The 23,450-nt window shown below is 34.0% G+C and overlaps 2 protein-coding genes across 3 annotated transcripts in view; both read right to left on the bottom strand.

Moving 5' to 3' along the window:
- The window catches only part of TNNI3K (TNNI3 interacting kinase), a 309,042-nt gene extending 300,699 nt beyond the window's left edge, over positions 1 to 8,343 (bottom strand). Inside the window, exons 1-2 of the mRNA NM_015978.3 lie at positions 8,239 to 8,343; positions 7,520 to 7,628 (exon numbers count right to left, since the gene is read on the bottom strand). Of these exons, the coding sequence (NP_057062.1) occupies positions 7,520 to 7,628; positions 8,239 to 8,278 (149 nt within the window). The 5' untranslated portion in view covers positions 8,279 to 8,343. The remainder of the gene's footprint in view (positions 1 to 7,519; positions 7,629 to 8,238) is intronic.
- Positions 1 to 23,450, bottom strand: part of FPGT-TNNI3K (FPGT-TNNI3K readthrough) — a 346,187-nt gene that overhangs the window by 300,699 nt on the left and 22,038 nt on the right. For both annotated transcript variants that reach the window (NM_001112808.3, NM_001199327.2), the window contains exon 4: positions 7,520 to 7,628. In NM_001112808.3, coding sequence (NP_001106279.3) covers positions 7,520 to 7,628 — 109 coding nt within the window. The remainder of the gene's footprint in view (positions 1 to 7,519; positions 7,629 to 23,450) is intronic.

Genomic DNA, 23,450 nt, shown 5'->3' with positions numbered 1-23,450 from the left:
GTTACTTTCTTTCTTGTAGCATAATGAATTCTTTTCCTAGCCTTTACCTTTGACCTAGAAAAGTGTGCAGTTTTGTGATCCAATTAAACTTCTTTTTCATGACCTCATCCTTTCAAGAAGATATCTAACATGACCACAAGTGGGAACTTATTAAAATGTAACATTTGAACAGTTGGCCAAAAAGTAACACACTGCTCTCCAAGGTATTCAGACAGGTAGATATATTTTAAAGCTAATTCATTGGTTAAAACTTAGGGAAAAGCCAAGAATGTAGAAAGAAGGTAAGGATTTTTTATGGGTTGTCTAGTTTCCCAAATTGATCATTTAAGTTTCAAATGGCTAGTTGCAACTTCTTGCCTATTCATTGCAGATTCTTCCCTGCCCCATGCCCTCCAAACAATAGAAGCAGACTATATCAATAAGATCTGTTTCTAATATATATCTCCAAGAAATATCCAGAAATATATTTGTTTGATATCTTGCAAATAAAATCTGCAAACTAATACTGTGAAGTATATTCATTTATTCAGCCATTCATACAATAAACAATTATAGTTAGAGTGACAGATATGATAAAATTGGCATAATTATTGTTATCTTATAAGATTGTTGTGAAGTGTAAATAAGTTAGAGCTTGTAAAGCTTTTATAAATATTAGCTGCTATAATAGTTATTTCTATTAAGGCATTGATATTATTTTTACTGTTTTTGTATTGTTTTGCTCTTCAAAACAGGGATAGGAAAGAAGGAATCATGGAGGTACAGGATGGAAAAGAAGAAGAGATGAAGGGTAAGGGGGAGAGAAAATGATAGAAAGATAGCGAGCTACAGATGGAGAAGGAGAGGGAGAACAATAGGGAGAGATAGAGAGAGAGAGGCAGAGAGAGATTGAGGTCAAGTTGCTTCTCAATGATTTCACAAGATATTCCTGTAAAATTATGGTTCTTAACTAGTTTTACCTGGACAAACAAGAAAAGAATTAGAGAAATAGACTGACTTAGGGCATTATGAATTCTTTGTTTCCTTTTGGATTTGAGGGTTTTTTTTGTTGTTGACGATTCTTATTTTTTGTTTTGTGGCTAATTGGCAAAACACACTACCAAACATGCCAAATAATATTTTCATTCTATGTTAATTATAAGATGACATTTCCCCTTCAATATCCTACTTAGTAGTTTGACAGAAAGGGTCTACTCCTCTTAAATAAGATCAGCTTGAAAAGTTTCCAGTGCTATTCATCTTATAATAGCCAAATTTCATAGTTGGCTATAGTGCAATAATTTTAGAAGATATTTTGTTTTAAGGATGAGTATAGTGGAATGCAACAGGCCTCAGATGAACTTTTCAGAGAGAAAAGGTACAAAAAGGTGTATCTCAGAAAACATTTTTTTATTTCCTCTATACATTGTGACTATTTAATGGAACAGAGCATTCTTTTGACCACTTTTTTGTACATAATTAAACCTAGTCAATTTTAAAGTGAGGCACTGTAATTACTGACCAAGATGTATCTACTCAATGCCAAAAAAGTTGTTTTGGATTATGTTGATGTCATAGTGTTTAAAAATTACAACTTTTCTGGGTCAGGCGCGGTGGCTCATGCTTGTAATCCCAGCACTTTGGGAGGCCAAGGTGGGCAGATCACGAGGTCAGGAGATCGAGACCATCCTGGCTAACACAGTGAAACCCCGTCTCTACTAAAAATACAAAAAATTAGCCAGGTGTGGTGGTGGGTGCCTGTAGTCCCAGCTACTTGGGAGGCTGAGGCAGGAGAATGGCGTGAATCCAGGAGGCGGAGCTTGCAGTGAGCCTAGATCGCGCCACTGCACTCCAGCCTGGGCGACAGAGCGAGACTCCGTCTGAAAAAAAAAAAAAAAAGGAAAAGAACTTCATGTCTAAAACACCAAAAGCAATGGCAACAAAAGCCAAAATTGACAAATGGGATCTAATTAAACTAAAGAGCTTCTGCACAGCAAAACAAACTACCATCAGAGTGAACAGGCAACCTACAGAATGGGAGAAAATTTTTGCAATCTACTCATCTGACAAAGGGCTAATATCTAGAATCTACAATGAACTCAAACAAATTTACAAGAAAAAAACAACCCCATCAACAAGTGGGCAAAGGATATGAACAGATACTTCTCAAAAGAAGACATTTATGCAGCCAAAAGACACATGAAAAAATGCTCATCATCACTGGCCATCAGAGAAATGCAAATCAAAACCACAATGAGATACCATCTCACACCAGTTAGAATGGCAGTCATTAAAAAGTCAGGAAACAACAGGTGCTGGAGAGGATGTGAAGAAATAGGAACACTTTTACACCATTGGTGGGACTGTAAACTAGTTCAACCATTGTGGAAGTCAGTGTGATGATTCCTCAGGGATCTAGAACTAGAAATACCATTTGACTCAGCCATCCCATTACTGGGTATATACCCAAAGGATTATAAAACATGCTGCTATAAAGTCACATGCACATGTATGTTTATTGCAGCACTATTCACAATAGCAAAGACTTGGAACTAAGCACCAACCCAAATGTCCAACAATGATAGACTGGATTAAGAAAATGTGGCACATATACACCATGGAATACTATGCAGCCATAAAAAATGATGACTTCATGTCCTTTGTAGGGACATGGTTGAAGCTGGAAACCATCATTCTCAGCAAACTATTGCAAGGACAAAAAACCAAACACCGCATGTCCTCACTCACAGGTGGGAATTGAGTACATGGACACAGGAAGGGGAACATCACACACGGGGGCCTGTTGTGGGGTGTGGGGAGGGGGAGGGATAGCATTAGGAGATATACCTAATGTTAAATGACGAGTTAATGGGTGCAGCACACCAACATGGCACATGTATACATATGTAACTAACCTGCATGTTGTGCACATGTACCCTAAAACTTAAAGTATAATAAAAAAAAAAAGAAAAAGAAAAAGAAAAATTATAACTTTTCTGGAGTATTCTCATGGTTTTAAATTTCATATTATAGATTAAGCAGATACAAATTTGGCTTGACAATGAAATTAGCAAAACATAGTCTTAAAATTTATTATGATAAAAACTATTGAAACAAAATAATTTAATTGAAAACATTTGAAGTCACATGTGGAGAGCCATCACTTCCATAGTTTTTTCAAAAAGGTTGTATAATATTCATAACCAAGATTATGAATATGATACATTTTGAAATCAAATAAAGATGGATGCAATCCTAGGTAAATCATACAAATTGTTTAATCTAGTTCAAGCCAGTTTAATTTGATTAGCCTCATTTTCTCCAGGTATAACATGGCAATTGCAACACTTACTTCAGAGGGTTGTTAACATAAACAATAATGATTAAGTGTTAACTAACATTTTTGAGGGTTTGCCATGTGCCAGACACTGTGCTAAAGCACTTTACATATACACCATTAGGATTATATAAGCTGATGCACAAAAAGATACGTAGAAGCATTTCTGGCATATGGTAAGCCCTAAGTTATTAGTTTGTTTTACAAATAAGTACAAATATAAATAAGGCTAAATAAGAAAAAAAGCTGCCTTTAATGAACACATATACTAGTGGGGAGATAGACCTATAAATGGATAAAAACAACACCATGTAGTAAGTGCTGTTATGTTGATAAAGATTAGAGGCAGCACAGAGGAGGATATAATCAGACAATGGTACTCTAAGGTGCCCTTTCTGTCTTTCTTTCTCCTCCTGCCTTCTCTTTTTCTTCATTTCTTCCTGTCACCAATCCATTACCTAAACAAATGTCCAAAGTTATGAGTGAATGCAACTTTATAGCAGAAGATGAAAGAACATTCCATTTCCATTTCCCCTCTCTCCCACATCAAGCTCCCATTCCAAAGCTGCTATAAATTGGCATAAGCAGGATAACTATTTAGCTCTTTCTGTCTTACATTTAGCACTATATTGCTGTTTATTATGTTGTGGGTAAAAGCTATGCCAGGAAGATTGTGTATTCGAGCTGATAGAGCAATGGTGTATTATGTGGTGAAAAATCTCTTATAATGAATGAAATTAGCATCTACCGGGAATGCCATAAAGAAATTGGTTAGCAAATGAAAAACTGTTTACATCAGTGATCCTTTACGTTTCATGCTAGTTTAAATGTTCCTTTTTGGGCATTGTATACAGTCTCCTTGCTATCTAAATGTTTAGAGAAAGGCTGATGTCAGGCAACATAACATAATTGTTTATCACAGGAATGCTCTTTATAAGACAAATGAATAAGGGTGAGTAATGAGATTCTAACATTTATTTAGCACCTATAATGCTCTAGATACTCATTTAAATGTCATTTCATACAGTGTTAGGTTTGATCTTCCCAACTACCTTTAAAATTTTGTGAATGAGTGAGTAAGACAATTTACATTCTCAGCACACTATTCTTTTCTTTCTTTCATCCATCATTTTATTCCAAAGAAAAGAAAATCCTTAGAACTCTGCCCTGGAAGCAATTCACTTTTTTCTCCCAGATTATGCTCTCTACCTTGACGAAATCAGACAAAAGCAGATTATTCTGTTTTTGCTTGCTTGTTTTTGATTCTCTTGACTCTCTTTAGACCACACCAGTTGCTTACTTTCTGTTCCCATATTCCTCATCCCTTCACTAATATCACCTCAGGCAAAGAGTTCTCAGTGCAATTTGGATATCTTTCTAGAAGTATAGTTTTCAAACTTTAGAAGTATCATTTTTATTATGCATAGTTTTATCTGGGGAGCTTGTTAAACATTCAGGTTATTGGAAGACATCTCCAGAGATTCTGATTCACATGATAAAGGGTGGAGTCATGGAATCGAAAATTTTAGCAAGTACTACAGTCTCCATCTCCATTAACATAAGAGGCCCCTAGTTCTTGCAGAAACATCATTCTAGACTGGATAATCCTCTCCTCAGCTTCCTTATCATCACATTCTGTAGCTTCTTTAATGTCATCAGCATCAGGCTATTGGTCTTTCTCTCCAAAAATGTCTCACCATTATCCTCAGTAAATTTGATAGCCATTTTGATTAGCCTTCTAATACTCTAGTCTCAAAATTCTTCAAATCCCTTTCAATCAAAATCATTAAAAGCTATATTTCAGATTTCGGCATCTTCCTAAATTGTGCTAATACTTTACATTTTTAATTTTGAAATCATCCTCTTCATAAAAACTTTCACTCTTTCTAACTTTTAATAAGCTATTTGTTACTCTCACTTTATGATAAGTCTTCTATCCTTCAAACTGTCCTTATTTATCCAATCAATCATGATAATAGAAATTTCCAACTACTCAATGCTTACTATGGGTTGGGCCCTGTACTTAGTATTTAATTTACCTCATTTTGAAAATATCCTGTGAGGTGATTATTATTCACCTCATTTTATAGATGAAAATGAGGATTAAGGAGATTAAAAAACATATCCATGGATATACAGCTTATAAATAGAAGAAGCTGTATTTAAAACCATGTTTGTATGACTCCAAAATTCTTACATTGATTCACATAGCTTTCTTACTCAAGTCAGATAATATGGTGAAGACATTATTTTTTCTCACTTTTCCTAAACTTTCTATGGTACTCATTCATTCTTGCCTACACACCTTTACTTAACTATGCTTTTTATCTACAATGATTCCAAAAATCAATGAATAAATCAGGACCTAAATCTTGTTTTTGTAAGCAGGGTATGGTAGGAAGAGCGCTATCTATGGAGTCAGGCAGACCTTGACACAAATCACATTCCAGAATTTACTGACCATGTGACTTGACAACTCCCACTGCCTTGTCTCTAATCCTTAGTTTATCATCCACCGGAGTTAATATTATTCGGCACACATGAAATGACAACAATCTACATATGACTATAGATTAAATAATGTCTTGTATTTGATGTATCCAGAACAACACTTGAATACGAGCTGGCACTCAACAAATTCTGGACTGTAAGCTCCCTGACACAGATTCCTGCATCTCACCCCCAATGCTAATCAGAAAAAAGAAGGTCACATTTGTTGCATTTAGTAGAAACACAGGAAAAGTCCATTATAGCAGTTGTCAAAACAGCTTGTAGTTGTCGATGTGGTATCAGAAAGAACCTACATTTTAAATCCATTGTTAATCCTAATATTCAGGTTTGGATACATCTAGTTTAAGCTAGCCTTCACCTATGTGCTCAATACTTTCTAAATTAAAAAATAATACTAAATAACTGAGGCTTTGACCTTTAAAAGTTGAGGAAAATCTCTTCAATGTAATCATATTTCATTTAGCATATTTATTTAAGTCAATAAGAGCTAGATGTTTATGATTAATTTCTATATTCATACTTTTCCAACAAAACAAATACATATTTATAATTCTACTGTACTAACATGCCAGTCATATTTCTACAGGAATTTCAAATGTAGTTCCATATCTCAACATGTGATACTACTTGCAAAAGTCAGATCAGTGGTATCTCATCACAAGTGTCAGTGTTGAGTTCATCATCCTGGGCCAAACTATAAAGAGAACCAACTACTTTTTGAACCATAAGTTGAACACTTGTGAAAGCCTTGTTACATCCATTGACGAATTTCATATAAACTATATTATACATGGGTGATTTTATTTGCCAATTATGTGATATTTATATGTTTACTATATCTAAAATTTTATTTTAAAGATGTGTCATTTGGTCATTGCTTTACACTTGTTTTCTAAGTAAAATAGAGGGAGTTCTTTGCCATGAGTGCATTACATAACACAGCTATAAATGAACATGGCTAATTGGCCTATATGGAACTTTTCCTTAGTCAGGCAGGTAACTTTCTTGACCCTCTAATGGGCATCTAGTTTCTCAATGTCAGATTCAATTTAACCAGAAGGCTTTTTGTGTATATAAGGGTCTTGCTCCTCTTTTCTGAACATTTTGTGTCTTCCAAGGTTGTGACACTTAGATTATTTTTCTCTTGTTATCATGGAACAAAATCTACTGAAATCCTGAAGGCAATATTATATGTTGTTATATGATTGTTCAGGGGCAGAATGATACTCAGTTCCATTAAGGGACAGCCTTTCAATGTCAAGAGACCAGAGGGTTTGTTAAAATTGGACTTACCGTCATAGTTCAAAGAGAACAATGTGGCCAATATGCGACCACTATGTGGGAAGAAAAATCTTGCTTTTCATTGCCGGCATGGTTTACAAGAATGATCTAATTCCTGAGAAGATTACTGAGATCAACAATAGCTTGCATTCAAAGGCTAGCCTTTAGGTTTTTATTTTTAAACTTTAATGATGGCAGATTACAATTTATATTTTAAGGAGGTGAGATGTTATGTTTGCATTTTGAGAGCTATATGAGTGGTCAAAGAGAGATAATCTGACATCCTAAGGCTTAGAACATGACTGCTTATGTCTGAGGTTCTACGGGTTTAAAAAATATACAGATACTTTAAAAAATAAGGTGAATACTGAAGACACTTATACAAAGAAATAATGACTCTTACAACTTTACCCAAATATATTCCTTAGTTCTGTCAGTTCTTTTTCCTTGATCTGCAGGTCATCTTCTAATCTTTCTATTGTGATAACATATGATTCACTGACTTTTTTCTTCCATTCATCTAGTAAAGAAGAACAAATGAGATTGATTCATAGTTGTGTTTTGCAAAATGTAGACACAGATCATAACATACAAGTAATCAAAACTGTTTTTTATTCTAGATTCTACAATACTTAATTTAAATTACTGATTGTGTGTTTAAAATGCAGATGTTTATATTTAAAATGCAATCATATTGAATTGTAGTAATGAAGAACCCATTCGATATTGGATAATATATTTACATAGAAAAATATATTTGACTTATTTCATTTGATTTTATTGCATTTTAATTATAGCAATCTCTAGTTGCAAGACGGTTTTTAGTTTTTAAATACTAGATACTTAAGATATAATTCTAAAATCCCTACATTCAGCAATATTCCAAATTTTTTTCTGTAACATTATACCAAGGAACTAAAATAATATTTTTGTAAGAAATTTCTTGTTTCCTATAAAGATCTTCAGAAAAAAATAATTTGAGTTCAGATAGTTTTTCAAAGACTTTCACAAAACATGCTGCCTTATCTTCCGTATACAAATTAACACATATTCCAATGAGTTGTTAGTTATCAGTAACTATAATTGAACCATATTACACTTAAGGAAATAAGAATAATTAGAATAATTACCAGTACAAGTTTGGGTTGGTCTAGATTTATAATTTCCCATTTATTATAAGTTTCTTCCTTTCTCCAGGGCAGTTCTTCAAGTTATAAGATTCCAAGTTCAAGTGCAGTGACAGTCCAGTTGAAAAATACTTTGATAGTCTGGCTAAAAATAAGCCCAACTGCCAAATGGAATGTCATGCAACAATGATAAAGAACAAAATCGTGTGTGCTTTCGAGGGTGAAATCATAAAGGGAACTAATCAGTCTGTTTAAAAGAACTGTATCAAAAATAAATAGCAAATGTTTCAATAGGATTATTTGCTTCCATCAATTATCTACCCATACATACTTTCATGGACCATTTATTTAACAGATAAATCTAGAAAATGATTCAGTTACATCCGAAGTTCACAAAAGAGCTGTTAAAACTACATAGACCTGTTTTCAAGATCATTTTCTCCTAAGCCAAAATAATGGCAGTTGGTAAAGAGTGGTAATAGAATGTGTCTACATACATAAATAAATAATAAAAATTCATTACCTCTAGCATATAACTAATAGAAATGAATGCAGGTTTGGCCTGTATAAGAGCTACATAATTATGTTTGTATGAAGAAATTCTCAACATAGACCAAGATTTATACTATTGTGGATTATTCCGACCATAAGAATCATAGATCAGAATGTAAAACATTAAGTTCTACAAATAGCAATTCGTAAAATAATAAATGACAAGAACAGTAAGATTAAGAATAAGAAAATTGAGCATTTGCTATGTGTCAGACCCTAGTTTACATGCTTTACATATATCTCATTATTTAATCTCATACATACAGTGCTGCTAGGTAGATATTATTCACAAATTATGGATGAGAAAACACAAAGTTACTAGTAAGTTGGAAGTCTGGAATCAGTTCTGACCATGTGACTCTAATATCCAAGCTAGATATTATTGATTTGTCTTCCAGAATTTCTCTTTCATGCACCTTCCATTTACTTTATTAGGACATTTCTCTTTGTATGCATATTGTATGCCTATTTCTACTGATATAAAGAACCCAGTCTATGATGGAGAATAAATGGGAAACCCAGAAAGAAAACATTAAATTTTTCACTATATATTTATTTCAGATAATCTTCTTATACCTAGAAAGTATAAATTTTAATCTTCAGATTCACATCCAGAGGATATAGCTTTAACTTAACAGATACAGATTTCATATTTTCTATAGTTAAATGTTCAAACAACTCTCTTTTTGAATAAATGATTAGACAAAGTTAGGACTCACCATATATTTTTGCTCAGCAAAAGTAATAGAAGTTTCAGAGGTAAGGCTTCCAGACTGATGAGATATAGTTGGCGCATCAGGTGTCTGGCTTCATAGACACTTTTTGTCCTCATCTGGACATATTCTCCTTTTCCCTTCTTATCAGTACATGCCTACCACAGCTGTTGATACTTGCTATACTGCAGTGGCATCTGGTTACCTTGGTCCATACACTCTACATTCTCCTTGTTTGAAAACCAGACATCTTCAGTTCCACCAGCTTTCTCTAAGCACTTCTGTGACCCCCATTTTCTCAGTTTGGAAAGTCTTTGTTTTGTCCAGGGACCTTCCTGCTTAATCTCTTCTTCCTTATCTTGAAGACCATACTGGATAGCTTTCTTTAAAAGACTTGCAATCTCCCAGGGCTACACTTTAGGAAATAATGCACCAGCTCTTTCTCCTCTCAGAGTTTCTTAAAATAATCATGGTTTCTATACTCTGAATCCAGAAGGACAAAGATGGGAGCCTTCTAGAGGACAACTAAATATATTTTTCTTGATCTCTTTTCTTATTTCTAATATCTCGGATCTTCCATCCGTGTGTGTGTGTGTACATGTATGTTTTCCACATATGGAGGAAAAATTAGCTCTTACATCATCTTCCACTGTGTTTCTAATTTCCTGCTTGGGACACAAGTCTGATGTACTGCTTTTTAGAATTTTTCCTTTTGATTTTCAAGAATACTTTTATTCTCTTAAAAAGCCTAGGTTTTACAAATGAAAGCTTTGGCTTTCAAAGGTGTGATTTCTGCGATGAGTTTGAAAATCCAATCAGCAACTCAGTTGAATTCTCCCACATTCTAATGCAATACATTTTGCTGGAAATAAAATGAAACGATAGCAATATAAGAAATGCAGAAAATTACTCAAAATATTACCCAAAATATTAACCACTATTGAACTATAACAGTTTCCTGGTTTGAAAGAAACAATATTTATCTCTAAGCCCTTCTTAAGAATGTGGATCTAGGTAATGGTTTGAGGTACTAGAGTAATTTTTTCTGGGTACCTTCAGCCTGATGAAGAAATGCTGGAAATGTAAATGGTCCAGGATAATATCCTTGCATTCCTTTTCCAAAGAATGTTGGAAAGAAACAACATAGAATCAAAAAATATTTTCCCTAATACTCAGTACATTTCTGTAAAAAGTACTTCTTTCTAATAAAGAGTTGGCCACATACTCTAAGTTGAATCCTACTTTCCCCAGTCCTGAGACGTCCAAAAGTGGAGAAAGCATGTTATATCATACATTATCAAAAACACAACTTGATTACAAAAGTAGTCTGCTTTCAAAGTTTAGTGAGGGTAGGCAACATGAGGAGCTTTGTTTAAAAAAATAGAAACCTGGGCTCCATCCCCAGAAATTCTGATTCAGTACATCAAGAGTAGAGCCCAGGAATCTGAACTTTAACAAGCAACTCTGATGATTCTAATGTAGATGCTACTTGGAGCATCATTTAAGAAGCACTATTTTAAGGTTGCTTAAAGTGAGATGCTACTTAACAGAAATTTTTTTACCTTTGAATTTCATGCAAGAGAAAAGAGATAAGTAGAATAAAAACAAAAGAAAGATTACTTCAGATTATCAAAGAGTTCTATCCTGTGGTAATTCCTGGGGCAATACATGATTTGGCTATGCAAGTATAGTCTCGTATTTTAAAAGTGATTCACAAAAATTGAACCAACCAAGATATTCCTTCATAAGTGAATGGAGAGACAAACTGTGGTATATCCAGAATATGGAAGATTATTCAGCAATGAAAAGAAAGGAGCCATGAAAATTCATGGAAGAACTTTAAATGTATATCACTAAGTGAAATAAGCCAGTCTGATAAGGCTACATCCTGTGTGATTTCAACTATATGACATTTTGGAAAAGGCAAAACTATACAAACCATAAAAAGATCAGTGGTTACAGGGGTAGAGGAGAGGAAGAGATGAGTAGGTGAAGCACAGGAAATCTTTAGAGTAGAGAAATATTCTGTATGATACTCTAATGGTGGATACATGACATTATCCATTTGGCAAAAATCATAGAACTACACAACACTAACGTAAACTATGGACTTTAGTTAAAAATCATTTATCAATATTGGTTCATTCATGTTAACAAATATACTATATAAGATGTTAATAAGAAAAATTGTGTGTGTGTAGGGGGAGTATATAGTAACTCTGTACTTTCTGATCCATGTTTTTTGTAAACTGAAAACAATTCTAACAAAATATTAATTTAAAAAATTATGGAAAAATATAAAACAAATGATGCAAAAAATAATAATTCCTTAAAAAGAGCATTTGAAGTACTCAAGGAAATTTAATAATTTATAAAGAAAAGCCAACTCAAATACATGATTAATAGTAAGGTTTCTTTCTTTTATGCTTGCTCGTTTCTTCATTAGAAAATGTCAGAACACATTTATGAAATATTATTTCTTCAACTACTTTGTTTCAACTAAGTTTGATATTCTACTGAATTGCCTAAATCTAGTTTTAATGCCTCTGTCTTTTCAACTGATTTCTCAGACCACTTCTGCATACAAATAGTTATATTCTAATACTCCTTCAATAAACCCACTTATGTTCTTTCTGCATTATTTTATTTGGGGTTTATACGATTTATTTATCCCAATCTACACTTACGCATCTGCTATTTATATTTATTTTATACTGATTTCTTTATAAAGATTTAAAAGGATGCTTTCAAAATGAAAAACGTAAAAATTGACCTTGACACTTCTACCTTTATGGTTCCAACAGAGAAATGATAAAAGAAAATGTATCCCATGAAATCAAACTAATGCACTTGGAACAATTATTATCACATTTAGAAGTTGAATTAATTTATACTTTGATAATTTCTTCATTGTATATTAGTCCTTATTAATATATTTCCATGTTTTGGGGAAGCATAGAGTTTCAATGCGTTGCATCTGGTTGACAAATTAATCATTGCTTTAAACATAAGAAGGTGGAATTACTAGTTAGTTTATATTTAGGTTTTTTTCCTTTATTTTTAATAAAGATTAAATAATTTGTGTTGAAATAAAATTATTTTAAAAATAAATTGACCATTGCCTAAGATGCATACAACTATTCAAGTGCACACAATTATTTGATTAATTTTCTTTTAAATAATGTGTTTCTGCATTTAAACAAGCATAATTTGTAAGAGTCTTATTTATCAAACAATTTTCTTTCTTTTTCACTAGAATATCTAAGTTTTTAGTATGTTGGATGATGTATAAATCACCATCATCAGTCTGAACATGTTGAGGTAATATTCAGATTAATCCTCAAAAATGAGTAAGACTTGAGAATACATTATAATGAATATATATTTATAATATGATAATATAATGTCACAGTAATTTAAGTATGTGTTCTCAGTATCTTTAACTGTCAGAGTATATTTTAAAAAGGAATAAACAATATTGCTATTTCTGTGTCCAATAAAGTATAACAGCAAATGCAAAGATCATAGTTTTTCCTGTGATTTCCTTTGTTGGTGGGTAAACATGAAATAAAGTTGATTAAATAATCTAGATTAAATAGAGGTAAGAGTCACATTTCTGTAACTGGCTAAAATTTCTTTTCCAAATTTATATGACTTCTTTGAATTGTCAGTCTAGCTCAATTTACGAACTGATCAGTCCATTTATCCATTCAACAAATACGTATTGTACCAAGAAATCCACAGAGCTCATGGGGCCAGAGATGCATGAGTAAACAGGTAACCGCAATGCAGTATTTGTCCTATGATGAGATATACATGATTGGCATGAGAAAGTCCATCTATTAAAGGCTAAATTTCAATCAGAAAAAGTTTCTTTGAGGAATTAAAATAATCAGAATAATCTAAACTTCATGACTCAGGCCACTTCCGTTCCTTCTTAATTCTTTCTTCACCCATCCTAAGAGTTAATTAACCAGCTTAAAAATGATATTGTGTGATAATTATAGTTCAATTAATAACTAATTATTGTTTTGGACAAATAACATTTTTAAAAATGTTATTTAGAATCTAATGTAATCAACTTTATGTTTGTTTGTTTTAAAAATTAGAGGTTTCTCTAATTAGAGGTTTCTAAATCGTATAATAAACAAACATAAAAAATTGGGGGGAGGGAAAACAAAATAATAGTTCTACTTATTTGAGAGTTTTTTTTTCTTTTCTCAATTTTTATTTTCTTTTTTTTAATTTTTCAATTTTAATTTGTGTGGGTATATAGCAGATATATATATATTTAAGGGCCACATGAGATATATTGATAGAGACATACAGTGCGTAATAAGCACATCAGGGCAAATAGGGTATCCATCCCATCAAGCATTTATCTGTTTTGTTGCAAACAATCAAATTAGAAACTTTTAGTTATTTTCAAATGTATAATTAAATTATTTTTGACTGTAGTCACCCTGTTGTGCTAACAAACACTAGGTCTTATTCGTTCTTTTGAACTATTTTTTGTACCCCTTAACCATCCCCAACCCCACCACCTGCTACCCTTCCCAGCTTCTGGTAGCCACTCTTGTATTCTCTATCTCCTTGAGTTCAACTGCTTTTATTTTTAGCTCCCATAAATAAATGAGAACATGCAAAATTTGTCTTTCTGTGTGTGGCTTATTTCACTTCACATAATGATTTCCAATACCATCTATGTTGTTGCAAATTACAGTATCTCATTCTTTTTTATGGCTGAGTAGTACTCCATTGCATTTATGTACCACATTTTCTTTATCCATTCATCTATTGATGGACACTTAGGTTGCTTTCAAATCTTAGCTATCGTGAACAATGATGCCACAAACATAGGAGTGAAGTTATCTCTTTGATACACTTATTTCTTTTCTTTTGTATATGTAATTCAGCAGTGGGATTGCTGGATTATATGATAGCTCAATCTTTATTTTTTTGAGGAAACTACAAGCTGTTCTCCATAGTGGTTGTATTCATTTTCATTCATACTAACAGTGTACAAGAATTCCCTTTTCTGCACATTCTTGCCAGCATTTGTTATTGCCTTTTTGATATAAGCCATTTTAACTGAGGTGAGAAGATATCTCATTGTAGTATTGATTTGCATTTTCCTGATTATAAATGATGTTGAGCACCTTTTCATATGCCTGTTTGTCATTTGTATGTCTTCTTCTGAGAAATATCTTTTCAAATATTTTGCACATTTTTAAATAAGATTATTGATGTTTTTCCTGTAAACTTGTCTGAGCTCTTTATAAAATTCTGGATATTAATGAATCCCTATCAGACGGGTAGTTTGCAAATATTTTCACCCATTTCGTGTGTTGTCTTCACATTGTTGATTGTTTCTTTTCTATGCAGCAACTCTTTAACTTGATGTGATCCCATCTGTCCATTTCTGCTTTGGTTGCCTGTGCTCATGGGATACTACTTGAGAAATCTTTGCCCAGTTCAATGTCCTGGAGAGTTTCCCCAATGTTTTATTTTAGTAGTGTCATACTTTGAGGTCTTGTAGTTAAGTCTTTAATCCATTTGGATGTAATTTTTCTATATGGCAAGAGATAGAGGTCTAGTTTCTTTCTTCTGCATATAGATACCGAGTTTTCCCAGCACCATTTATTGAAGACACTGTCCTTTTCCCAATGTATGTGCTTGGCATCCTTGTCAAAAATGAGTTCATTGTAGATGTATGAATTTACCTCTGGGTTGTCTATTCTGTTCCGTTCATCTATGTGTCTGTTTTTATGCCAGTATCATGCCATTTTGGATGCTGTAGCTCTGTAGAATAATTTAAAGTCAAGTAGTGTGATTCCTCCAGTTTTGTTCTTTTTGCGTAGGATAGCTTTGGCTACTCTGGGTCTTTTGTGGTTCCATATAAATTTTAAATTTTTTTTTCTATTTCACTGAATAATGTCATTGGTATTTTGATAGGGATTGCATTGAGTCTGTAGATTGCTTTGGGTAGTATGAACATTTTAACAATATTAATTTTTTCAATTCACAAACATGGACAATTTTTTCATTTTTGTGTGTCTTCAATTTCCTTCATCAATGTTTTTTAGTTTTTATTGTAGAGGTCTTTCAATTTTTTCATTAATTCCTAGATATTTAATTTTATTTGTAGCTACTATAAGAGGGATTAATTTCTTGATTTCTTTTTCAGATTGTTTGCTGTTGGCATAGAGAAATGCTACTGATTTTTGTGTATGTTCATTTTGTATCCTGCAACTTTACTAAATTTATCAATTCAAGTCGTTTTCTTGTGGAGTCTTTAGGTTTTTCCAAATATAAGATCATATCATGTGTAAATAAGGATAATTTGACTTGCTTCTTTTCAATTTCGAAGTCCTTTTTTCCCTCTTCTCTGATTGCTCTAGCTAGGAGTTCCAGTGCTATGTTGAATAACAGTGGTGAAAAATGGGCATCCTTGTGTTCCACATCTTAGAGGAAAGCCTATCATTTACAATGATACTAGCTATGGATTTGTCATAGATGGATTTTATTGTGTTTAAGTATGTTTCTTCCATATCCAGTTTTATGATTTTTATCATGAAAAGATGTTGAATTTTAGCAAATGGTTTTTCAGCACCAATTGAAATGTCCATGTGATTTTCGTACTTAATTTGGTTGATACAATGTAGTACATTAATTGATTTGCATATGTTGAACCATTCTTGCATCCCTAAGATAAATCCCACTTGGTCATGATGGTGACCTTTTCAATGTGTTGTTGAATTTGGATTGCTCGTATTTTATTGAAGGTTTTTGCATCAATATTCATCAGTGATACTGGCATATAGTTTTCATTTTTTGACAGGTCTTTGGTTTTAGTATCAGGGTACTACTAGCCTCATGGAATAAGTTTGGAAGTATTCCTTCCTTTTCCATTATTCCAAACAGTTAGAGTAGGATTGGTATTATTTCTTTTTTAAAATGTTTGGTAGAATTAAGCAATGAAACCATTGAGTCCAGGCTTTTCTTTGCTGGGAGGTGCTTTTTATTATTGCTTTGGTCTCTTTACTTGTTATTCGTCTGTTTAGGTTTTGGATTTCCTCATGGTTAAATTTTGGTAGGTTGTATGTGTCTTGAAATTGATTCACTTCTTCTATATTTTCCAATTTATTGGCATATAGTTGCTCATAGTAGCCAATAATGATCCTCTGAATTTCTGTGACAACAGTTGTATTGTTTCCTTTTTCATTTTTTATTTAGATCATTTCTCTTTTTTTCTTAGCCTGGCTAAAGGTTTGTACATTTTGTTTATCTTTTCAAGAAAAACCCTTTTTGTTTCATTGACATTTTATTTCAAATTCATTTTTCTTGCTCTAGTCTTTATTATTTCTTTTCTATTAATTTTGGGTTTGGCTTGGTTTTGCTTCTCTAGTTCTTTAAGGTGTATCATTAGGCTGTGTATTTGAAGTTTTTCTACTTTTCTGATGTAGGCACTTATCGCTATAAACTTCCTTCTTGTTCTGCTTTCGCTGTATCCCAAAGATTTTGGTATATTTTGTTTCCACTAACATTTGTTTCAAGAAATATTTCAATTTCCTTCTTAATTTCTACATTGACCCACTGAATATTCAGGAGCATATTGTTTAATTTCCTTGTGTTTGTACAGTTTCCAGAATTTCTCATGTTGATTTCTAGTTTTATTCCATTGTGGCCAGAGAAGATCCCTGATATTATTTCAATTTTTGTGAATGTTTCAAGACATGTTTTGTAACCTAACATATGATCTGTCCTTGAGAATGACCCAAGTGCTGAGGGAAAAAATGTGTATTCCAAAGCCATTTGACGAAATGTTCTGTAAATACCTATTTCGTCTATTTGGTGCATAGTGCAGACAAAGTCCAATGTTTCTTTGTTGATTTCCTGTCTAGACTATCTATCTAGTGCTGAAAAGTCGGGTGTTGAAGTCTCCAGCTATTATTGTATTAGGGCCTATCTCTCTCTTTACTTCTAACAAAGTTTGTTTTATATACCTGAGCGCTCCAGTGTTGGGTGCATATATATTTAGAATTGTTATATCCTCTTGCTGAATTGACCCCTATACCATTATGTAATGACTTCTTTGACTCTTTTTTTAGCTTTTGTATTGAAATCTATTTTTTTCTGATATAAGTATAGCTACTCATGCTCTTTTTTGGTTTCCATTGGCATAGAATATCTTTTTTCATCCCTTTATTTTCAGCCTATATGTATCTTTATAGACAAAGTATGTTTCTTGTAGGCAACAGATTATTGAGTCTTTTTTTCCATCCATTCAGCCAGTCTATGTCTTTTAATTTGAAAGTTTATCCCATTTACATTCAATATTATTATTGATAAATAGGGACTTAGTTCCTGCTATTTTTTAATTTATTTTCTAGTTGTTCTGTGATTTTCTCTCCCTATCTTCCTTCCTGCCTCCCTTTCAGTGAAGGTGATTTTCTTTGGTGGTATGATTTGTTTTCTTGCTTTCTATTTTTTGTGTATCTACCACATGTTTTTTGATGTGAGGTTACCATGAGGCTTGCAAATACTATCTTATAACCCATTATTTTAAGCTGATAACAACTTAACACTCTTTGCATAAACAAATAAGCATAGAGAAAACAAATAAAAACTCTACACCTTAACTTGTGCCCCCACTTTTAATTTTTTGTTGTTTCCATTTATATCTTAATGTACTATCTATGTCTTAAAAATTTGTTGTTGTAGTTATTTTTGATTGGCTCGTCTTTTAGTCTTTCTACTTGAGTGGTTTACATACCACAGTTAGAGTGTTATAATATTCTGTGTTTTTACTTACTATTACCAGTGAGTTTTGTACTTTCAGATGATTTCTTACTGCTCGTTAACTCCCTTTTATTTCGGATTGAAGTACTTCCTTTAGCAGTTATTATAGGACAGGTCTGGTGTTGATGAAATTCCTCAGCCTTAGTGTGTCTGAGAAAGTATTTCTCCTTCAAGTTTGAAGAATATTTTCACCAGATATACTATGCTACGGTAACAGTTTTTTTTTCTTCAGAACTTTAAATATATTATGCCACTCTCTCCTGACCTGTAAGGTTTCCACTGAAAAGTCTTCAGCCAATGTACTGGAGCTCCATTATATGTTATTTGTTTCCTTTCTCTTGCTGCTTTTAGGATTTTTTTCTTTATCCTTGACTTTGGGTGTTTGATTGTTAAATGCCTTGAGGTAGTCTTCTTTGGGTTAAATCTGCTTGGTGTTCTATAGATTTCTTGTATTTGGACATTGATGTGTTTCTCTAGATTTGGGAAGTTCTCTGTTATGATCCCTTTGGATATTTTATCACTATCTAGCTCCTTCTCTACCTCCTCTTTAAGGCCATTAACTCCGAGATTTTTCCTTTTGAGGCTATTTTCTAGATCATGTAGGCATGCTTCATTCTTTTTTATTCTTTTGTCTCCTCTGTGTATTTTCAAATAGCCTGTCTTTAAGCTCATTAGTTCTTTTTTCTGTTTGACCAGTTCTGCTATTAAGACTCTCATGCATTCTTCAATATATGCCAATTGCATTTCTAAACTCCATAATTTCTGCTTGATTTTTAAAAAATTATTTCAATCTCTTTGTTAAATTTCTCTGAGTGAATTCTGAGTTCTCTGTGTTATCTTGAATTTCTTTGAGTTTCCTCAAAACAGCTACTTTAAATTCTCTGAAAAATTAAATATCTCTGTCTCTGCAGGATTGGTCACTCGTGTCTTATTTAGTTCATTTGGCAACATCATGTTTTCCCGAAAAGCCTTGATGTTTGTGGATATTCATCTTTGGGCATTGAAGAGTAAGGTGTTTATTGTAATCTTTGCTGTCTGGGCTTGTTCGTATTTGTTCTTCTTGGGAAGACTTTCCAGGTATTCCAAAGTACTTGGGTGTTGTTGTCTAAGCCACATCTGTATTCAGGGGCACCCCAAGCCTATTAATGCTATAACTGTTGGAGACTTGTGGAGGTATTACCTTGATAGTCTTGGATAAGATCTGGAATAATTCTCTGAATTTTTAGGCAGAGACTCTTGTTCTCTTCCCTTACTTTCTCACAAACTAACAAAATCTTTCTCTCTGTCCTGAGCTGACTGAAACTGGAAGTGGGATGACACAAGCATCCCTGTGGCCACCACCACTGGGGCTTCACACTGGGTCTCACTCAAGATCCACTATAACCTCTACCTGGCTACCGCCTATGTTCACTCAAGGCTCTGGGCTCTATAATCAGCAGGAGGAGGGGAAAGCCAATCAGGTTTGTGTCCTACTTTTCAGGATGGCAAGATTCTCCAGGTCCTGTGCAGGTCCAGAGGTGCCATCTTGGAGCCAGGTACTAAAGTCAAAACCTTGGAAGTCTACCTGGTGTTTTATTGCACTTTGGCTGAGCTGGCACCCAAACAATGAGACACAGTCTTTTCCACTCTTCCCTCCCCTTTCCATAGGCAGAGGAACGTCACACAGTGACTACCACCATCACTGGCCCATGAGGAGTACAGCCAGACTACTGCCAATGTTCCTTTAAGACCCAAGGGCTGTTAAGTCAGCTTGTGGTGAATGCCACCTGGCCCGGGACTCAACTTTCAGGGCAATGGTCTCACCTCTAGCCCAGGGCAGGTCTCAAAACGCTGTCCAAGAGCCAAGGCCTGGAATTAGGGACCTTAAGAGCTTGGTGCTCTTCCTGACTGTGGCTGAGCTGATACCTAAGCTGCAAGACAAAGTCCCCTTTATTTTCTCTCTGCTTTTCTCAAGTAGAAGGTGTCTCTCCCTGTAGCTACCACAGCTGGAAAAGTGCTGAGTCTCATCTGAATCCAGCAAGTCTCAGAGTCTCACCCAAAGTGCACAGCATACAACCTAAGTATCACTGCTGGTTATTCAGGGCCCAAAGGCTGTTTAGTCAGCAGGTGATGGGTCCTGCCAAAACTTGGTCCTTCCCTTCAGGGCAGCAGGTTCGTTTCTGGCCCAGGGTATGTTTAGAAATGTTGTCCTGAAGCTAGAGCCTAGAAGGGGCACCTCATGACTCTGACTGGTGCCATATTCTACCGTGACTGAGCTGGTATCGAAGATGGATGACCAAGTCCTCTTTACTCTTTCCTCTTCTTTTTGAGAGTTTTCTTTTCACTTGTCAATTATCTACCTGTGGCTGTTCCTCAAAGTGAAAAGAAATACATTTTGATATAGGCAGGACAAATTATTTAAAGATTTGAAAAGTGGGACTATATAATGTGGTTGTTAGAGAATCCATAGATATGTAGCTATTATGTAGCAAAATTAAATAAACAAGTTTGGGTGGTTCCCCCTTGTTGACTCAGTGACTAATTCCCTGTTGCTTACTGCAGCAGACTCCAGTGATAGAGAAAGCAGGAAGCTGCTGTGTCTGCTACACTGTGGCCACTTAAAATTAAAATCGGTCCTGGTAGTTCTTCAACTTTAAGGGAAATGCCATGCCTGAACCGAGATCGCGCCATTGCACTCCAGCCTGGGCAACAAGAGCGAAACCCTGTCTCAAAAAAAAAAAGTTGAAGGCCCTGAGACAGAAGAGCATTATCTAAGCACCATGCCTCTTGGTTTATGTAAGATCTTTGAGTTAGCATGATGAGTGATTCCATAGGACCAGTTCTTTGCTTATTCCCGCCAAGCAGAGAAAGTCTCAGTAAGCTCTCTGTCTGTAGTTACCATTATTTTTGTTACATCTTCTCCTATATCTTCTTAATGCCAGAATGGTGATTATAGTTATCATGTACTATGTTTTTTAACCCCCTTGTCACCATTCTCTATAACAGTGGCAGAAATAGCATTAGCAATTTGTGTGTACGCAAAGGTTCATGATCTTCCTTCATCGTATTGGCAAGCTCAGCACTCCACCAATAAGAACTAACTCTGATTCAATTGTATTTTGTTTCTATACATTGTATATTTAGTTGTGGAGCTAGACTGGCTCTTTTCATACTTGAAATTCCACATATATAATCTTTAACATCTTGCATAAAATTTAAAGGAGTGCTAGGAGTTAGTATAATGCTGTTGGGGTAAAAAAAAAAAAAAAAACTCAGCTTTCATTCATAACCCCATTAGTGGATCAACACATTTCATTTGGTGAATTAATAGAAAGTTGCAGTTTGTATGGTCACACAGATTTCTGATTTCTTTTTGCAGAGACTATTGTCTCTGAAGCCAATTATTTAGGGACTTGTTATAGCAAGTAATATTTGAGTGCATCCTTAATGCCAGGCAGACTTTTAATAATAAACCCAAGTTGAGTGCTTCCAATTCAACATATGTCCTCATAGATTTATATCTCATTTTATTGGCATCCAAATAATATACCCTTCCCAACCAGAATTCAAGTTTAGTATCTAAGTATATACAAAAAGATTTACATTTTAATTACAATTTGTGAAAAACTTCATGTTTTCCTTACAACTGTACTCCCCTTCTTCAACATGGATTATCAAGAGTAGACTATAATTATTATGAATTTCAAGACCACTTGTTTTCACAGAAAGCCATTTTTAGGAGTTCTTGCTACTAGTAAGCCTAAATTGTACTTCCTTGTCTGGTAATATGGAGAGTGATTGCTCTAGTATTCTTGCCTTTATCTCCAGGAAAGTCATATTCCTGCTTCAAAATGTCAGCTGTTCTGAGGAGTCTTTACCAACTTCACAGAACATTTTGGCCATGTTGTCCTTGCTGCTCCCGTTGTATCTCATACCCTTTTTTGTCTCTTAAACCCATAATTTGGTCACATGAAGTTCACACTAATGGAGAAGAAAAATTGTGAATTAATGGACTTAAGCTCAAGCTAGAAACTTTAAAAATGAAATTGTCATCAATACTAAGAGGCATGTTCTGAATTACATAAGGAAATTGTACATGCAAAGGTGTTAGAAGCACCTCTGTGTTGTCCGGGGGTCTCATTCTTCCCGTACCAGTAACTTTATAATTTAAGGTCACCCCCTCTTGAGGTCCAAAGCAAATGATGCAAAGACAATTCTAACTGTGGTGTTTCTGATGCCTGGGTTTATTAAATCATAATAGAATATACTGGATTTGATTACAAGTCTTGAGTCTATTTGTTTAAGTTGGCTCACCATGTGTTATCATTTCCTAACTGCTGGCCGGAGTTTCCCAGGTTGAGGTCTAGGTCTGAGTACACAAATAGTTACCTAAAATTATCACCCATATTTCCCTAGTTCATATATACAGCCAGAGAATAAATGATAGGGCCTATGGTAAAGGGTAACACGGCATTTGGAAAATGTGTAGGCCTTAAGCATATCAGAACGAGAGAGAAATGCATATTATCACATGAGAGTTTTCACAAATTAACTCCATCATTATCTTTCTGAAACTCTCATTGCCCATGATGCTCGGTGCAGCTATATAACAGTTAACCTATTAGTGAACTACAATAGTTATGTTCGGGTCCCCTAAAGACTATATATTCTCTCTTTGACTTATTATATAAAACTCATTTCTTCTACAGAGTCTGGACATGTACTAATTTACAAAGTCACCTTGAGATGATCTATCAGGGCTGCATCCTTTAATGTTACTGAAGATGGCTGTTAGTAACTATTTCATTTTGAAGACTAAACATATTTATATTTGGTAAGTTTATACTATAATTTTATATGTGTGCATATATACTATATATAATACAATGTATACATTACATAAATATATATACATATATACAATACATATATGTAGTTTAAGAATAGGCAAGAAATTAAACACATTTAAATCCTACTCTAAGTTGCTATCCATGCAGCATCTGCTTCTATTAAGGGATTTATTATAGAATATAGAATTAATGCTTTTATCCCTCCTCCCAGGCAATAAGTAACTTGAATGCAGGCATCTTTGCATTTGAAATAGCCCACCACAGTTCCTTATAAGTATAGACATAAATTTAATTGTTTTGGAATGAATTGAACTGAATA

The sequence above is a fragment of the Homo sapiens genome, chromosome 1 (assembly GCF_000001405.40).
Source record: "Homo sapiens chromosome 1, GRCh38.p14 Primary Assembly".
Taxonomy (NCBI): Eukaryota; Metazoa; Chordata; class Mammalia; order Primates; family Hominidae; genus Homo; species Homo sapiens.
Note: the sequence above shows the minus strand (reverse complement) of the source record. Positions and strands in the feature narration are given on the sequence as shown.